Here is a 19,960-nt window from a genome sequence, read left to right as displayed (position 1 = left end):
CTTATATTTTTGAGTGCCAATGTGTGTTATTTTTCAACAAAAACAGCTAAGCTTAAAGCTTAATGAAGTAAGAAAGGCATTCAGGAAGAGGGAGAGCCAACATCTTGTATATTTGAACCTGTCTGTTCTGCCAGTGACCCATGGAGTGAAGAGCTGTGTCAGCTGATCATTTAGCTGACCACTGCTGACAGACAAATACCTTGTGCTGAGCTTGGAGGGAGTCACAAAAACATCAGAAGTCAACAAGGTAACACACAATTCCTGTGGGGTCCTATACTTATTTTTGCCATTGCTTGGAGCTGAACAATTACACGCAAAAATGCATCTTATCTGAAAATAACGCACACATTTTAAGAGTTTAAATTACTTTGTTTTGAGAAGGTGTTTGTAAAACTACTTGGGCACACATTTTTCAAATGATGATAATTAGCTGATTAATAATATCATAGTCATCAAAAGAGATACCATGTTTTCAAAATCATGCAACAATAGATGAGCTCTTACATGGCTTTAATTGGAATACCTAATAATTATAACTTTGTGGATGCAAGGGAAGAGATGTTTTCAACTGTAAACACAAACACAGAAAATGAAACAAAAATTTGTCAGCATAAGATTGCCTGCTTATATGACTACTAAGCCAGAAAGCAGCTGCTTTATTTAATGCATTGTTTCAGGAGACATTGAAGTGTGATTTCCAACATTGTTAATACCAAAAGTCCATTTGCCTCATGATCTTCCAATTGTGAAAGACTTTTCCCCCATGAAATTGTATTTATTAAGTAATTCTGAATTTTTCCACTTTTTAATTTTTACTTTTTTGCTATGGAGTCTCACTCTATTGCCCAGGTTGGAGTGCCATGGTGTGATCTTGGCTCACTGCAACCTCTGCCTTCTGAGTTCAAGCAATTCTCCTGCCTCAGCCTCCTAAGTAGCTGGGATTACAGGCATGCATTACCATGCCCAGCTAATTTTTGTGTTTTTAGTAGAGATGAGGTTTCACCATATTGGCCAGGCTGGTCTTGAACTCCTGACCTTTGGTGATCTGTCCGCCTTGGCCTCCCAAAGTGCTGGGATTACACGCATGAGCCACTGTGCCTGGCCGAGTTTTTCGACTTTAATAAGCAAAGACAATCATAGCTACCAGTTAACTATTGTGATGAAAGTGCAATAATAAATATTCAACACTGAATTGCTATAATTCCCATCCAAACCAAGGAAACTTGTATATATCATAGACTCCCTTTTGGTGACCAAGTGTATAATTTCCATTAGATATTTAAAAATCTTGAAAATGACACATAGAACCTATCGTTACCTTTAGGAAGTTCCAGAGTTTCAAGGATCTCTTATGAGGAAACTCAATGATGCATAAAAATTATATGTCTGAATTTAGCTATGTTTGATTTAAGCATTTAAGAATTGAAGAAGCTTTTACTACAATTTCTTGTTCCAAATGTTTTTCTAAGAATGTGAAGAACCAAGCTATATTTTCCTGGCAGAATCAAACAAATTCTCTTCCATTTTAAGAAAAGGTTGATGGGGCTCCTTATAAGCTGTCTTTTGGTAATTATAAAAATATGGCTTAACAATGGGACTGTTTCTTGTTTTCGGTAGATCGGAAGGAGCACAATTTAAAACAGGCTGGGGTACAAAGAACAAAAGAAACTGGCCAAAAAAATGTGAAGTATCAATTCCATTGTGAAATGTTTCATCTCACAAGATGTGACGGAAGTTAGGAAAATATTTTTTCTCCTTTTTAGTTATACCATATCTGAGAATTAATGTTGGTCCTTTGGAAATCTCTGTCTCTCTCTCTCTGTCTCTCGCTCTCTCCTCTCTCTGTCTCTCTCTGTGTATTCCAATGGTTAGCTACTGAATAGATTGTATGGTGAACATGTATTAATAATACCAATAGAGATCCACTTGGAATTCTTAGGCCAACTCTAGACTGCTTTGTGGTCTCAGAGCCTTAAAGCTATTATCTGCATCCTCATTGCCATCCACCTCGATTACCCCAAGCCTGATGTGTTAAATCCTACCCAGTCTGTTTCAGGAATATTCTCTAGTCTGAATACCTTAGGCTCAGGGTAAGATATTACGAGGGGAAAGAGAAACGCTACTTGAGGTGAGAGTTCCTGTCCAGAAGGTAAGAAGTACAGTTTGCTGAGGGTAGGAGGAGATGTGCATTGCAGAGATGCTCCATTGGAGAGGCAGGGTTGTAAATACAGCGGAGCAAATTTAGGGGCTAGAATGCGTTCGACTATGAGGACCCTCCTTCTGCTATTAGGTATTTTCTTGGATGCTTAATATGGTCAGAATGTGTGTGTCTTTCTAAAATTCATGTTGAAACCTAATCCTTATTTTGGTGTTGTGAAGAAGTGGGTCTTTAGGAAGTGATTAGGTCATGAGGGCTCTTCCCTTATGAATGGGATTAGCGTCCTTAAAAAAGAGGCTTGAGTCAGCCTATTTTCCCTTTCTTTCCCATCTGCCATGTAAAGACACAGCAACAAGCCACCCTGTATGAAGCACAGAGCCCTCACCAGACACTGATCTGCTGGCAACTTATCTTGAACTGCCCAGCTTCCAGCACTGTGAGCAACAAATTTCTGTTGCTTATCAGCCAGCCAGCCTAAGGAGTTTTATTACAGCAGCCCAAATAGACAAAGACAATGCTCTACCCTTAGATGTAAGAAAAGTCACATATAATTTTATGTCCATCCATGTACCCTCTGCTCACTTCACCTTCCTGAACTGTATTATTTCTAGTTACCTCAGCCATTTATTCAAGTCGGATGTATCCTAACAGGCTTGTGTACTGGTGTCATGGAGGACAAAGATGAAGCAAAGGACAGAGGACCATTTTTTCCCACACAAATCTGTTAGTTACAGAGGATTATGGAGGGTGGGCTGACAACTGACCTTCACTAGCATGTTGCCTACTGAAATCTTCCTCAAACAGAATCTCAAACCATATTAATAGGTGTTTCATCCCAAGAAAGCATTCTATGGCCAAGTAAATTTGGGATATGGTATATTCCACGGGAGAGTGACAATACACATAAATATGTGAAAACATCTGAGGATGTCTATAGAAAAGAAAACTGTTTAGCTTTGCTTAATTCAATAATTTCCCACTAGAGTTGACCACAGACTCCCTTTTTCCTGAGACGTGTTTTTCATAAGACAAGACTGACATGTGGGGAACCCTACCACATCTTCTTTCTCAAAACAATTTCTTCCACCGTTACTATGACAGCACACTCCCAGTTTTCCCCTTACCTCCCTGGGCATGCTTTCTACCTGCTTTGTAGCTCTTTGTCTTCTGCTTTGTCATTAGATATTAGATTTCCTCAAGGCTTGGCCCTAGGTCCTCTCCATTGCCTTCTCTTCTCATCCATGCCTGTGGCCTCCATGACCACCTCATGCAGATGTCTCATAGATGTCTAGCTACAGTTTAGACCTCTTTTCTGAGCCCCAGCCTTCTCTGTCTACCAGCTTACTTGACATTCTCATTGACAATTCAATGTCAAATTAAGATCGTTATCTTCCTGCCTTTGCCCAGTGTTCAGCAGCATTCCTTTTTTCAGCAAATGAAACCACACTTTATTCTGTTATGCAATAAGAAACCCAAGTGTCATCTCTGACACCACCCTTCATCACACTCATCAAATAGTAGAGATATGATTTCCTAATAATCTTAGATACATCCACTTCTATCACTGCTTCTCCTTATTTGTTCTATGTTACAAACTTTTCACACCCAGGTTCCTATAAAGGCTTCTTTGGCCTTTTTAACCATTCACTCTCGCCCTCTTAAATCAGTTATCCATAATATAGCCCAAGTGATGGTTCTTATCTCAAATCTAATCATAACTACTTTCCCCTTAAAAGACTCCATTACTCTTAGAACACAGACCAAAATTTTAAGTTACAAGACTCTGCGTGATTGAGCTCCTACCTTTTGTTGCAGCCTTGTTTTGTATTGCACTGCTCATAATCCTCTTTGCTACTCTTGTCCTGAGAGTAAAAAGTAAAAAAAAAATTTACTTAAAATAATAGCAAAGACTTGGAGCCAACCCAAATGCTCATCAATGTTAGACTGGATAAAGAAAATGTGGCACATATACACCATGGAATACTATGCAGCTATAAAAAAGAATGAGTTCTGGCTAACCCTGTGAAACCCCGTCTCTACTAAAAATACAAAAAATTAGCCGGGCATGGTGGCAGGCACCTGTAGTCCCAGGTACTCAGGGGGGTTGAGGCAGGAGAATGGCGTGAACCCGGGAGGTGGAGCTTGCAGTGAGCTGAGATCGCGCCACTGCAGTCCGGCCTGGGTGAAAGAGCGAGACTCTGTCTCGAAAAAAAAAAAAAAAAAAAAGAATGAGTTCATGTCATTTGCAGGGACATGGATGAAGCTGGAAACCATCATTCTCAGCAAACTAACACAGGAACAGAAAACCAAACACCGTATGTTCTCACTCGTAAGTGGGAGTTGAACAATGAGAACATATGGGCATAGGGAGGGGAACATCACACACTGGGGCCTGTTGTGGGGTGGAGGGCAAGGGATAGATAGCATTAGGAGAAATACCTAATGTAGATGACGGGTTGGTGCAGCAAACCACCATGGCACATGTATACCTATGTAACAAACCTGCACGTTCCACACATGTATCCCAGAACTTAAAAGTATAATAAAAAAATTGAGATATCATTCATATACCATAAAATTCATTATTTTGAAGTCTAAAGTTCAGTTGTTTATTAGTACGTTTTAAAGTTGTGCAACCGTCACAACTATCCAATTCCAGAACATTTTCATCACCCCAAAAAGAAATCCTTTATCAGTTACTCTTCATTTTCCTCCCCTGTAGCCCCTGGCAAACCCTATTGACTTTCTGCTTCTATGGGTTTGTCTGTTTTGGAAATTTCATGTAAACGGAATTGTAGGATATGTGGCCTTTTGTGTCTGGCTTCTTTTATTTTACATACTCTTTTCAAGGTTCATTCAGGTTGTAGCATGTATCTGCTCTTCATTCCTTTTTATTGCCAAATAATATTCTACCATGTGGATATACCACATTTTGTTTATCTATTCATCAGTTAATGAACATTTAGGTTGTTTTTGCTTTTTGGCCATTATGAGTAGTGCTGGTAAGAACATTCATGTACAAGTTTTTGTATATCCAAGTTTGTATATATCCAAGAGAATATGTTCTCTTGGATATATACCCAGGGGCGTAATCACTTGGTCATATGGTAATTCTATGTTTAATATTTTTGAGAATCTGCCAAACTGTTTTCCAAAGTGGCAGTAGCAGTTTACATTCCCACCAGTGACGTATGAGGCTTCCAGTTTCTCCACATTTTTGCTAACATTTGATATTGTTCATCTTTTTGATTATAGGCACGTAAATAGTTATGAAGTGGTAACTCGTTGTTTGGATTTGCATTTTCCTAGTGAGTAATGCAGTTCTTGGTTTACTTTTGATTTCTGAAATGCATCCTATTTCCTCTTTCCAGATGGTCTTTGCCTGTGCAGCTTCTCTTTTCCCAATCTCTCCACCCATAACTTGATTATTTTTTCTGCTCTCTTTATAGAGATGGAAATTGTCATTTCCTAGAGGACATATTCTCTGATAGCTCTATGTCAAATCCATTGACTATAAACTCTCATTGGACCATGTAATTTTCACTCATAGTACTTGCCACATTTGCAACTCTACATTTACATATATGTATAATATAAATGTTGAGTTTTATTTATATATAAATACATATATTTATATATATATACACATGCATACATTTATATATAAATGTGAGTGTATATATAAACATACACATATATTTTATATATAATATATAATATATTATATATTTTTATATATTATATATGACAATTATATATTATATATTATAATATTATATATTATATATAATATTTATTATAATATATTATATATTAAACAAATATAAAATATATTGTATATATTATATATTAAACAAATATAAAATATATTGTATATATTATAAATAAAATATATTATATTATATATAATATAAATATATAATATATAATATATTATATTATATATAATATAAATATATAATATATTATATTATATATAATATAAATATATAATATATAAAATATATAATATAAATATATAATATATAAAATATATTATATAATATATAATATAATATATAAAATATATATTATATATAAAATATATATTATATAATATATATAAAATATATAAATTATATTTATATAATATATATTATATATAATATATAATATATAGTATACTATATATTATATATTATATAATATATAGTATACTATATATTATATATTATATAATATATAGTATAATATATATTTATTTATATAAAATATTTATTTTATATAAAATTTATTAATTTATATAAAAATTTATATAAAATATTTATTTATTTATATAAAATGTAAAATATAAAATATATAATACATAAAATATATTGTATATAAAATATATCATATACAATATATAAAATATATTATATACAATATATAAAATATATTGCATATAATATATATATATTTTTTGAGACAGAGTCTTGCTCTGTTGCCCAGGCTGGAGTGCATTGGTGTAATCTTGGCTCAGTGCAACCTCCACCTCCAGGGTTCAAGCAGATTCTTCTGCCTCAGCCTCCTGAGTAGCTGAGACTACAGGCATGTGCCACCACACCTGGCTATTTTTTGTATTTTTAGTAGAGACGGGGTTTCACCATATTGGCCAGGCTGGTCTTGAACTCCCAGCCTCAGGTGATCTGCCTGCCTTGGCCTCCCAAAGTGCTGGGATTACAGGCGTGAGCCACTGCTCCCTGCCTATTTATATGATTTTTTGATGATTAGTAGCTTCTTTCCTAGCAGACTACTAGTTTCACAAAGGCAGGGAACCTGTTTATATTATTCCCCATTGCATTCTCAGCACAGTCAATGCCTGGGACATAGTAGTTATCAGTAAATATTTTCTGAATGAAGAAAAGAATGATTAGATTAATTATGGGTTACAGGAATAGTCTTTAATAAGCAAAGACATTCAGTGCCACTACACATTCCTATGGGATTTCTCAGAAGACAATTTGGGGTCACAAATTCTCTATATGGATAATTATATACTTTGGTGAGTTAGAAAAGATAAATGGGAGGAACAAATCAGGGCAGAAAGGAATGTTTGTAGGGGTGAAGGGTAGATACTTTACATCAGATTACTTTTGGATATTCTTATGAATTATCAAGTAATGGGTTATTTTGGACAGCTTATGGGAATCAACTCATTTGTCTTTTAAGCTCATTTCTTTATGAATTAATTTCTCTTCTAATTATTAAAATGAAAATTCAGTTTTCTTATAGTGCATTGACTCTTCTTCCACTAATCATTTTTACATTGACATGTAGGCAGTCTTTGACAAGGCTTGGGCTAGCTAGAAGAGTTCTAGCTATCTTTACCCACCGACACAAATATCTCCATTGGTCATTTCTGTCTGAAACCCAAGATTCTTATTCATTTTAGTTCGATGCTATTGGTAAGCATTAGATGACATTTATTTACACAAATGAAAGCTAGAATTTCAGGAAAATCTAATCTAACATCCTCCAGCATTTATCTTTTGAAGTGACCCACATTGAAGAGTAGCATGCATGCCTTAGCACTCTGACACTCAGCTGGGATATTAGCTAGCAGTTAGGACCCTTCACTCAAAGGCATTGTATCTAGCAAAGGAAGAGGGTGAGCAGTACTCCTACCTATCAACAAACAATGACATCCTGAAGCCTAATGACCACTACCAAGTCATTGACTATCACCTCCCCTGCAGTCAAGTGCAGCCTTAGGTAATAAAGATGGAAAACAGCAATACTAAAGAAAACATAACCATTAAAGGGGCTTTTACTAAACTGCGAAAGGTGTCAAGCTCCTTTTCCTTCTCCCTGTTAGTAAACTTTTCATGGTTGAAGGCATGGAGGCCTAATGACAGGAGATGGACATGTCACAGACAGAAGTGGCCCTTGGACCCTGGAGGTCACAGTGTGACGGTGTGTGTGAAGGAATGCGAAACCTTTTTGCGTCTTTGTTCCAGTGGATATGGTCCACTGGCAAATCCTGTTGCACTAAGATCGGAGGGTGCAGATAACCCAAACATAATCCAGACATGTGGACATTGTTTTTACGACATGGCGTTCCGAATCCAAAGTGCACCACCGCCCTCAAAAAACAAACAAGACTTTGGCTTCTTCCTGTATGAAGAGCTCTATCTCTGAAAGTTCCTCTCATGTTCTCTCTTTCTCTCAATCTCTAACTCCTAGTCTCTCTGTTGCTTCAAGTCTCTCCTTCTGTTTCTATGTCTTTCTCCTTATTTCTCCATCAACTAAAGACATACCTATAGATGTGGTATGTATATATCTCTCAGACTTTGTGTGTACATTAGTTATATATATAGTTGACTTATATATATATATATAATATGTAGGATGTGTGTACAAATCATATATATATATTATATATATATCCTGAACACTTACAACTCTCAAGTGAAAAGGAAACTCAATTCAAGCTGTCCTTGAATGGGCATACATACGTCATGTTATCTACCTTCTAAGGCCAAAGACAATTTTAGTTTTGCCAGAAATAGTGTGAAGATGAATTAGCATTTATGATGACTTGTCTGAATAGACTCAGCGCCCTTAACTAGGCCACAGTCATCCTATCAACAACTTTAGTTGTCTGTATCAACTTTTTGGATTAATCTGGGCCTCACCTTTGGAACATTTCCCTGGTACTGCCTTACTTATTTGTTGTTAACTCTGCACTGTGGATTCTGTCCTGTTCTCTACCTGCTCACCTGGACCTGGCTCTTTGTACCTCCCTGGCTCCCTGTGCCACAAACCCTAGACCTCAGCCAGTGCAGACCTCTCCACTACCTGTGGCCCTCCCTTCTTCCACTGCCCTACCCTCTTTAGTCACCACACTCCTGTTCTGGTCCACTGCTCGACTGGCCATTGCACCGCTCCCCTGGATGAGTCTCTGTGCAGTGGCCCCAGACCCAGTCATTTAGGGTGAGGTAGTACAGCTCTCTTAGCCTGTGGGCTCCATTCTCCCAGGGCATGCACACATCATTAGAGTGGCTGAATCTGGTGATTCAGTAGCCACTATGTGCCAGGCCATTGTTCTACATGCTGGGGCACAACAAAGACAGGAGAATCCAAGTCCTACCCTCAGAGGGCTCACATGGCAATGGAGGAGGCTGCCCATCAACAAGTCAACAAACAAACATAAACGATGTAATTTCAGATGGTGATAAGTGTTGTGAAGTGCATGGATAAAGTTAGGAGAGTCGGTAGTCAAAGCAAATACTTATGAGAGAAAGGATGTCAGCCTCACCCATCCAATTGTCACCTGGAGTGGCCTTCAGGTGAGAAAACTTTTTTTATATTGCAATGGTTAATAAATTAGGTCAGCTTTGTGAAATTCAAGGTAGAAATATTGCAAACATTTATTCTACTTTTATATAAGTACCACCTCTTAGGAAAATTTGATGTCAGTTCCTAGCAATTTAGACACAGAAACATATATTATATTGTTCTGGAATAATTTTAAAAGCTAATTTACTGTTGGAATTCCAAATTCACAATATTGCTGAGTCAAGCTGAGTGCTTGTAGTTGTAGTTCATTACCTGTGTTTCCTTTTGTGTTAACAATCATGTTAATTACCTGCAGGTGTCTTTATTTCTCCCCCATTAAGGAATAGGCTTTTCACTGGACTTAATTCCAATTAAAATATTTACCTTTATTCGGCTGTGTGGCAGTGGCTCACGTCTGTAATCCCAGCACTTTGGGAGGCTGAGGCAGGTGGATCACTTGAGGTCAGGAGTTTGAGACCAACATGGTGAAACCCTGTCTCTACTGAAAAAAAAAAAAAAAAAGAAAATTAGCTCAGTGTGGTGGTGCATTTCTGTAGTCCCAGCTACTTGGGAGGCTAAGGCAGGAGAATTGCTTGAACCTGGGAGATGGAGGTTGCAGTGAGCAGAGATGACACCATTCATTGCACTCCAGCCTGGGCAGCAAGAGCGAGACTCTCTCTCAAAAAAAAAAAAAAAAAAAAAAAATTACCTTTTTTTTCTACAGAAATTCTCCCTGCACCTGGAAATATTCAAGTAAATTTTGCCTCCATTTGAGATTGTGCTGCTAATATTTAGATTTGAGGAGTATCAACTTTGCTACTATTGTTTTACAATTTTCTGCATGAAGAGAGCAAACGTTTTCAAGATGCTTTGTGTGTCAGCTAAAAAATGTATAATGATGATAATAATGGGAAATATGAATGTAGTACTTTTAGTTAGAAACTTCCAAACAAAAAAATATAGTTCAAATGTTGGTCCCTGTGATATATACATCCCCTTACTAACTGATACAATTATCTATAAAAATATGTATTTCTCCTACAAAATGAATTTTCTTAAGATGGGTTGTAGACAATGAAATTATCACCAATATAGGGATACACTTAAAAAATTGAGGTAAAATTTATGCATAGCTAAATGCACTGGTTTTAAGTGAATCAATGAACTTGGATAAATGTGTTTACCTATGTAACCACCACCCCAATCAAGGTATAGAACATTTCTATAATTTCAGAACGTTCTATCGGGTAGGGGGTATAATTTGAAGTATCTAGATTATTCTGATTCTAAAAATAATTACAGTAAGGAATATGGCTTATTCATGCCAATAAGTTAAAAAGATATGTTTCATTAACACATTTTACCAGCATCTTAGTCAAACAAGTCATTTTCTTTAACGTCTGCTGGCAGTTAAATATTGTCCATTGCCCACGGGCTTATCAGCAGTGCCAAAATCATTTGGGAAATTAAACTTTATTCCTGAGGTAGCAACAGCTTGCTGATTAATTTAACAATGAGCTAATTATAAATAGCTTCTTATAATTAGTCCAAGGCAGGAGGTTTTGTTTCATTTACATCAAGCATGTCCATCATCAGGTATCTTTTGGGCCCAGAAGGCAATCTCAGTTTTCCAGTTGAAATGAACCAAAGCCACCTGAAGAGACATGGTTTGCAGCAAGAACTGCTCTGATTTTATTTTTATTCATTCATTTAACAGATTAAACTCTTACCATGTGCCAGGAACTGCTAAGTACTGAGGTTATAGCAGTGATCAAAACAGAAAAAATCTTGGGGGTGTAGCTCAGGGGTAGACCATTTGACTGCAAAACAGACAAAATCCCTCTCCTCATGGAGAAAAGCAACAACAACAACAACAAAACCCACAAAAAATCCAAAAAAGCAAACCCAAATGAGTCTATAATATAATGTCACGTAATTTGAAGTATGAAGAAAAATAAAGCAAGGTAAAGGGCTGGGCAGTGATGGGGATGAGGGTCAGAGTGTTATTGAAGTGTAGTCATGGAAAACCTCTTTGAATACAGCAAAGCAAGAGTTTGTTTCCAAGTGACCCACTGAGCTGCGTACACATTTTTATTTCAAATAAAATATATTTGTATTATTTGTCATTCATACTGTCCATCCATACCACACTAACTTCTGTGTCAGGTGGTCTAATAGAAGTATACCTGTTTTGTTCTTAAAAAAGAAAAATTGATATTTGAGTAGAGGTTTGAGAAAAATGGGACCATGTAGGTTTCTGGGAATAGCAAACGCAAAGGCCCTGAACTAAGAATGTGCTTGAAGCTTTTCAAGAACAGCAAGGTGAGGAAGAGGCAAGGATGCTGGAGAGGGAAGAGTGGCCAGGCCCATCAGTTCACCTGGGACATTCTAGACTTTGGTAAGAACTTTGGAACTGAGATTGTCAGAGATGTGTGGAGTCTTTTGGGATCTTTTTTTTTTTTTTTTAAAAAAACTAAATATGAATAAATCTTATTCTGGAAGTTATTTTGTACTGAAATGATAACACTGAAAGTTTTTTGTTGTTTATGAAAATGGGCTATCAAAAGCTAAAGTTGATTACATAAATATAAAGAGAATTACATTTCTGCATGAATTTTAAAAATGAAACTTTTTATTTTGGAACAATTTAGATTTACAGAAAAGTTATAAAGATAGTCCGGAAAGTTGCTGTATATCCCTTATATAGTTTCCCCTGTTATTAAGATCATACATTACCGCGGTTCATTTGTTAAAACTAGAATATTGACATTGGCTTATTACTGTTAATAAACGTCAGGTTTTATTTGGATTTGCTAGTTTTTCCATCAGTGTCCTCTTTCTGTTCCAGGATTCAATATATGGTACCACATTGCACTTAGTTGCCATGCCTCCTCAGTCTTCTCTGGTCTTTGGCAGTCTTCTTGTTTTCATGACCTTGACTGTCTTGAGGAATAGCAGTCAGGTACCCCATAGAATCTTCCCAATCTGGGTTTGTCTTTTGTTTTTCTTATGATTGGACTAGGGCAATGAGTCATCAGAAAGAATACAGAAGTGAGTGCCCTTCTTATCACATCATATCAACAGGTACCTGCATCCATATGATGTCTCTAGTGAGGTTAACTTTCATCACTTGGTTGAGGTAGGTTTTCCAGATTTCTCCACCATGAAGTTACTATTTTCACCTTTTCCTACTCTATTCTTTGGAATCAAGCTCACTCTTAAGGAAAGGATGGTGAGACTTAAGCTACTTCGGAGTGTTTTAAGGGGAAGAGTAACATAATCCTATTTATGCTCTTAAAAGGGAAGGGCCACTCTATGTTGAGAGCAGACTATAGGGATAAGAGCAGAAGCAGGGAGACTGGGCAATGTCCAGGTGAGACATGGTGGCTTGGATTGGGGTGACAGTCATGGAAATGATGAGAAGTGGCTGAGATTTGCGTATGCTTGGGAGATAGAGCCTATGGGTTTTATATTGCTGTTCCACCTTCACTACCATGAGGGCAATGGCCATTAGTAATGATGGACATTATCTTGTTTTACTAATCACAGTGTCACTTTCTGGAAGGACAGTGCTCTTCTTCTATTGTTGTTGGATGTTATAAAGATTGTTGATTGATTTGTTTGCATTTTCAAAGTAAGCCTTACTCATTACTGGAGCCAAGTTACAAATGTCTCTGATTTTAGAGATAAGTATTAGCATAAAAATTTAGATAATCCAGCTTAGGGAAGCCAATTTCTTCAGAACCTCCTATGGACGAGGCCCCTTTTTAGATGTTTTATGTTTGTTGTGAGTGTATTTATATTTTTGTAAGTATATTTATATTTTTGTAAGTATATTTATATTTCCTGTGAATTTCAAAGCCCACAAAAAAGCAAGAATGTAGCTCTCCCTGTTTTTCTGTAAGTGAACTTAAATTTTATCATAAACCAACTTTTTTATGATATAAAAAATTTAGTCCCATTATATCTATGTCAACTCTGTTCCTTTGACGATCACATTAGTCATTTCATATTTACACCTATGTAACTGTGGGCTTTCCCTCTTCTTCCTTTTCTCCTTCCTGATACTGATCTTGAAAACTGCAGAGATTTGTGAATATGCCACTTTGGATTTGGAGGAGAGCACGGCGTGCCCTTCTCAATTTTGACTGGTTGAGATCTCATTCTATCTCCCATGAGATGTAGCTGGTCGGTTTGGTCTTTGGGCATGTCCTCCACAGCAGCAATCTCCTAAGAAATAATTGCATTCTTTTTAGCTATCCCAAGGGATGATGCATGCAGTATGTATCCTTCCTGCAGCACCCCCTTATTCTGGCTTGACACTCTACAAGTCTACCAGCAGACCCTCTCAGAACAAGTGAGATTCAAGTCCTCTTTCTTTAGGGAGTCTGGAACTTACACAGATGTTCTATCTCCCTCCTCCCGCACCAGCTCTTCTTAATGGGAGTTGGCCCCAAAGGGCAGGAGCTGGGCTTCCAAACCAGCATGTAACTTATTGGTTTCACTCTCTCAGCTTGTAGAAGGTTCTTGTTCCTAAAGAGCTTGGAGGCAGAGGTGGGAAATCCTCTGCAGAAAGAAGGAATCACTTAGTTTTTCCAAATCTATGGTTTATTAAAAACTGGGCCTTTGGGCCGGGTGCGGTGGCTCATGCCTGTAATCCCAGCACTTTGGGAGGCTGAGGTGGGTGGATCATGAGGTCAGGAGATTGAGACCATCCTGGCTAACACGGTGAAACCCTGTCTCTACTAAAAATACAAAAAAAAAAAAAAAAAAAAATAGCTGGGCGTGGCGGCAGGCACCTATAGTCCCAGCTACTCGGGAGGCTGAGGCAGGAGAATGGTGTGAACCCGGGAGGCAGGGCTTGCAGAAAGCCGAGATCGCGCCACTGCACTCCAGAGCCTGGGCAATAGAGTGAGACTCCGACTCAAAAAAAAAAAAAAAAAAAAAAAAAAACAACCCCAAAACTGGGCCTTTGGAAACAAGAGAAAACCAAGAATTATTTTGTTTCTCACTGTATAAAGCAGTGAGAATTGGAGGCTGCAGTAGAGGTTGGGGTATAGGAGCTTTTGAAGAGTTGGGAAGAAGAGTGCAGGAGTGGAAAACAGACTAGCAGAGCAATGCATGAGCTAACACTCATAACACCAACAATCACGTGACTGTTTCACATACCTTTATATTAGTTCTGTTGTACCTTCTTATCATCATTTGGTAAATGAGAAAGTTAAGAGAAGTTACAAAAAATTATCCAAGCTTATATAGAGAGCATGCATTGGTGGAGCCAGGAATCAAAACCAGAGCTGTTCTAACATCAAAGCCTCTGTTTTGTCCACTACAGCTCATAATCCAACTCATCTACTCACATTTTCCTTGCGCGTGCATGACTCAAAGTCTTCCAGGGAGAGAAATGACTGGCCTGGGCGGTGGTTAAGCAGAATGGAGGGCACCTCCTTGGTCAGTAGGTGTCTAACATCTCCCTTTCTCTTTTTGAATTTCAGCCTTTAACCCATAATGATTGAGTGCTTATGCTGTGGTGCAGGAATACAATGGTGAACAAGCCGGTTCTTGCCCTTAAGGAAGTTAGAGCCAGGGAGAGGAGAGAGACAAGTGAAAAGATACTTAAAATTCAGCATAGTGAAGCACCACTAACAAAGTGAAACAGATGGCTTTGAGAGACCCAGAAAGAGCCCCTAACTCTGCCCTGGGGGATCCACAAAGCCTTCCTGGAACAGACAGGGTTCAAAGGACAGAGCTATATCAGTGTCTGTGGGATACAGGGTGATGGAGGAGGGAGTGTGAGAGCCCATTACAAACCTCCTTTTTGTGAGTAGTGTTCTCCTCCTACTCCTTCAAAGCAGAGTGAACTGAGCTCCAGTTGAGTCAGGGACAGGGGGAGGCCATCTCTTCCTGGGTCCACCCTCTAAGATAATGGAGAACTTGTCAATAACCAAAGGCTGGCTGTCCCTATCCATCCCCCAAACAGGCACTGAATGCTCTGCAGCCAAAGCTACTACTACCGCTTATTGATTGCTTCTGAATAGGCTTCCAGTGCTGCATGTTCAGCCTGCTCACCTTCTAGCCCGTGGAGCTCTTTTCACTGGCTCTGCCTTCCCTCTGGCCTGAATTAGGCAGCATTTGTGAGGTAAACACCACCAGGGCAATCAAGTGCCACAGAAATACAACAGAAACATGCAAAGCAAACTACACCATTTCCTCCTCCCTGGATTTAGAGGCCTCAGGAAGAGCCAAGGGGAGGATACTTGTTGGAGACTGCTTATTCTCACTTGAACAGGCAGTGTTTTTAAAAAAAAGAAATAAGAGAAATGTAGTTATTTTCAAAATGCGGCCTTTTCCCTCCATTCTGTCCCTCCTGCAGATTTCTATTCAAAGACTCATTTTCTCCCTCAGACATTTCAGCTTCTGAACTTATTTCACATAAAAAATGCATGACGTGTTTTTTTTTGTTATATATTCTTAAAGATGACAGCGAATTTCCCCAATTCTCAGTGTTTTCTGCTGTTTACTTCTGCAGGGGAACACAGAACACGCTTTTAGCAGTCACGGCTGCCAGAATGAAGCCCAGAGGGCTCGTGGCAGATGGATTGTGATGCTTGTCCTTGGAGGTTTTAGCTTTTGTCCTTGGAGCATTTAGCTCTGGTGGAACATCTTACCCCGAAGTGCAGGCTTTTATGCTTCTGGGGACAATGGAGTCCCTGGGAGCTGGGGAAAAACAGAGTGTGATCCAGTGGCCTGCATGCTGGGCTGGGCTTCAGGAAGGCCAGGGTCTAGTGCTGTCTCCAAGGAGGGGTCCTGGAGCAAGTCCCACCCATCTCTGGCCATGGGAGTTTCCATCTGAGCCAGCCAGATTTTGTTGCCTTCAGAAATGTGATGGAGAATCTGTGCCCTCCTCTCCATCACATGCACATATTCTGGAGGCTGCAGATTAAGTTGCCTGCTTTAAGAAAACTCTAAAGAGAAAATTGAAATTTGTGAAAATGATGGTGGGGAGACAGGAGAGGGAATGTTGAATATTCATGCAACCATACCATACTTGTTCTTCTATAAAACAACATCTAAGCTATAATTTAATTTAAAAATTCAGGGACATACACTTTCTCCAAGGGCAGGCACATGAAGTTGACAGTAAAAAGGAAACACAGAATTCGTTGAGTGGCCTTTGTCCCCTGTTACCTCATCAAGTGCTTACAACTACTGTATACTGCAGGTATTATTATCACTATTTTCGAGGTGAGGAAATGCAGGCAGAGAGCCCATATCATTAGCGAGTTAAGTAGTTTCTAATTGGCTAAGCCAATAGTCCAACCAAGGCCAGCTCAGGTGCAGTGACCTTCCTTAGAGCCTTGCTCAAGTCAGAACCCCAAAGTTTGAGTCTGGGCTCCCCTGCTAGTGTCCTTGGCAGTCCCTTCCCTCCTCAGAGTCTGATTCTCAGGACAATCCTGTCTTTCTGGCTTCACGGGGTTGTTGTGACAACCATCACCAAGAGACAACATGAGGAAGTGTTTTGTAAGTGACAGCGTGTTATACAAATACCAGAGAGAATCATTATTCCTCTGTTGCCACTGAAGGAGGCACACCTGTTGATGAATGACTGAAATATTTAGCTAAGGACTTGCCAAGCAGTTTTATCTTATGTAGCAGAGTAGCGAGTGAGGCCTCTTGTCACCGGGACACATTCCCCATGCTGGTTTTTTGCTTCACGTGGATGCAAAGTGCAGGCCATACGGTATGCACATAATACTCGCCAAGAGGGTGTGTGGGGTAACCCTTAGGAGCAAGGCTGCTGGAGCCAAACTGCCCACCTCTGCCGCTTGCCTGCTTTGTGCCTTTGGGCACATTAGACTCTCTGTGTCTCAGTTTTCTAATCAATGAAATGGGGATAAGAATAGGCTCTATCTCAGGGCTGGGCACGGTGGCTCACGCCTGTAATCCCAGCACTTTGGGAGGCCGAGGCAGGCGGATCATGAGGTCAGGAGATCGAGACCATCCTGACTAACATGGTGAAACCCTGTCTCTACTAAAAACAAAAAAAAAATTGGCTGGGCGTGGTGGTGGGCACCTGTGGTCCCAGCTGCTCGGGAGGCTGAGGCAGGAGGATGGTGTGAACCCGGGAAGCGGAGCTTGCAGTGAGCCGAGATCGTGCCACTGCACTCCAGCCTGGGCGACACAACGAGACTCCATCTCAAAAAAGAAAAGAAAAAAAAAAGAATAGGCTCTATCTCATAAGATTATGTCACAGACTTAATGAGTCAATTCATGCACAGCTCTTAGCACCATGCCTGGAACTATAGTGCTATAGAAGTGCTTGCGGATTTTGACCAGCCTTGATAGAACTGGCAGGAGCCACGTGTTGATGGCAATGGTAAGCTCCACGGTAGGGTGCCACCATGCAAAAGCTCCAGGTCAGTGCCTTTCCCTACAAAGAACATTCTTTAGGGCTCACAAAAAAACAGCCTCTCTGCCTAATATTTCCTATGTGGAACAAATGCTGATGACAGGCTTGGTGAGGGGCTAGGCAAGACTGTGCCCTATTTGGCCTCATCTCCATCTTCATTTCACATCATGCATCATCCTGGAGCTCTGCATCTACCATGCTGAATCCTTTTAGGTCCTAGAAAGTGGTATGCTCTCTTCCCTCTTGAACACACTATTCCTTCTACTGGAAATTCTCTTTCTTTGCTACCATAGCCCCAGGCTAGCCTGTCAGCTTGCTCGCATCTGCCTGCACATCCCTCAGGTCTCAGCTTCCATGGCATATATTGGGGAGGTTTGTCCTGATGTCCTTCGACTGGTTTGAAAAAAAAGTCTTAGGATGCAATACAGACTCTAATAATGACTGGAGTGAAAGTTGTTACCCTGAAAACTCTGTAGAGTAATGGCATTTGCTTACTCAATTGTACACTTGTTTTACATACACGATATGCTATTTTTTTATACAAACTGAAAGTAATTTATACATTATATTATTTGCTTATACAAAGTAGTTTACTCAGTTTTTGGATTGGACAAATTTCCTTTTTTATCCTCTTTCTCTCCTTGGCTATCTCCACTCTGGTGTCAGCTCTTGACAAAATCAGAGTTGATGCTCCTTATTTGTTTTTTTTTAAGAAACAATGAGTTAAAGGTTTTATATCATTGAGAAGTCTAGAAAATGTCAAATGGCTTCTGCTCTTTTTAAAATTTATTTATTTGAAACAGTATTGTGCAACATTCAGATATTGTTCATTGGTTTCAGCCTTCATTTTGTAAATGAAAACAATGGTAAAAAGACAGGAATATTTTTACTTCAGCCTAATAGTGTTACCTGTGAGAGGAAAGTAAAAGTGAATTTTATTTTACTGTTTCTGTTTCTTCTGTATTCTCTAAATTTCCTCCAATTACCATACAATAATAAAAAGTCACTAAAATTTAGAAAATAAAACAAGGAGAAATTCAATATTCTCTAAATTCAATTCCAATCAACAGTATTCCATAACCAATGAGGCTGGAAAATGGGAACATTAAAAACAATTAAAAAAAAAGATTTCCGTGACAATCACCTTGAAATCTTTTCTCTATTCCTTCTCCCACGTGGTGTTAAGACTCACCACTAGCCTGTTTGCCATCTCCTGGCAGTGTTTGTTCCCCTGCCTTTGAGGAGATGAACACCCAGAAGACTAATTGCTCGTAGAAAAGCCCCAAGGAAGATTGTCCTTCAGCTGGCTGTACTGAGTTTATTTTCATGTTATTTTTCCTTCCAGCTTTCCTGTCTCCTACTTCTACTTTCTTTTTAAAGACACTTTTTTGTTCTTTCCTTCTACTTTTAACCAACCATCCTTGCCCTCCTGACCATCATTCCAGTCACTATAGTCCAGTAGTGTCTCTTTCAGGGAAGATTTTTCCACACTTTTTCTTTTCATACTTTCCTCATCACAGTGTTTCTTCCCTGTTTTCCACTCAGTTACCCCTGACTTTTTCTCGCTAGTCAGGGAGAAGGAAAGCACAAGGGAATTTTAAAGATATTCAGGGATCCTTTTCCAGTTAGTACCTCGAAATGTTCCTAAACCAAACTTTTCATGTAAGTTTTTACAGGCATCAAAATGAAATTTGAGTGTGTGTTTGTTTTTTTAAATTAGCCACTTAAAATTGTGTTTCAGAGACCCTTGGTCAAATTTCCTGTCATGGACCTAAAGGGCCCTGAAACTTACTATACATTTAATAAGATATTTACCTCTCTCTTGCAAAGAGCTGGAAGTAGCAAATTGTGACTCATATCTAGGGTTTTCTGGTACGTTTCACCAAGGCCTGTCTGCACTATTCTCAAAAAGGTAAATTTTACATTTCAGCAAATAAAATATGTAATGCTTATGATGAGGTCCTTGCAAGAAGTCTCTGCAAAAATTGTGCTGTGTTCTTTTCTAATGCTACAGTGAGAAACCAGAAAAGAGTTCAGCCATGGAATCCATTTCAAATGAATGATAGAGCTGTGCTTGAAATTCTCCACTATCA

The 19,960-nt window shown here is 38.8% G+C and overlaps 1 long non-coding RNA gene across 3 annotated transcripts in view; it reads right to left on the bottom strand.

Annotated features, from left to right (window-relative positions):
• The window catches only part of LINC02031 (long intergenic non-protein coding RNA 2031), a 30,497-nt gene extending 14,755 nt beyond the window's left edge, over positions 1 to 15,742 (bottom strand). For 2 of the 3 annotated variants that reach the window (XR_427440.3, XR_001741038.1), the window contains exons 1-4: positions 15,527 to 15,742; positions 15,269 to 15,374; positions 14,818 to 15,024; positions 3,962 to 4,020 (exon numbers count right to left, since the gene is read on the bottom strand). This is a non-coding gene — a long non-coding RNA (long intergenic non-protein coding RNA 2031). Of the gene's footprint in view, positions 1 to 3,961; positions 4,021 to 12,138; positions 13,688 to 14,817; positions 15,025 to 15,268; positions 15,375 to 15,526 lie in introns of those variants that run through there. The other variant, XR_001741037.1, reaches the window with a different exon arrangement.
• Between the last annotated feature and the right edge of the window lie 4,218 nt (positions 15,743 to 19,960).

The sequence above is a fragment of the Homo sapiens genome, chromosome 3, assembly GCF_000001405.40.
Source record: "Homo sapiens chromosome 3, GRCh38.p14 Primary Assembly".
NCBI lineage: Eukaryota > Metazoa > Chordata > Mammalia > Primates > Hominidae > Homo > Homo sapiens.
This window is presented reverse-complemented; position numbering and strand designations above follow the sequence as displayed.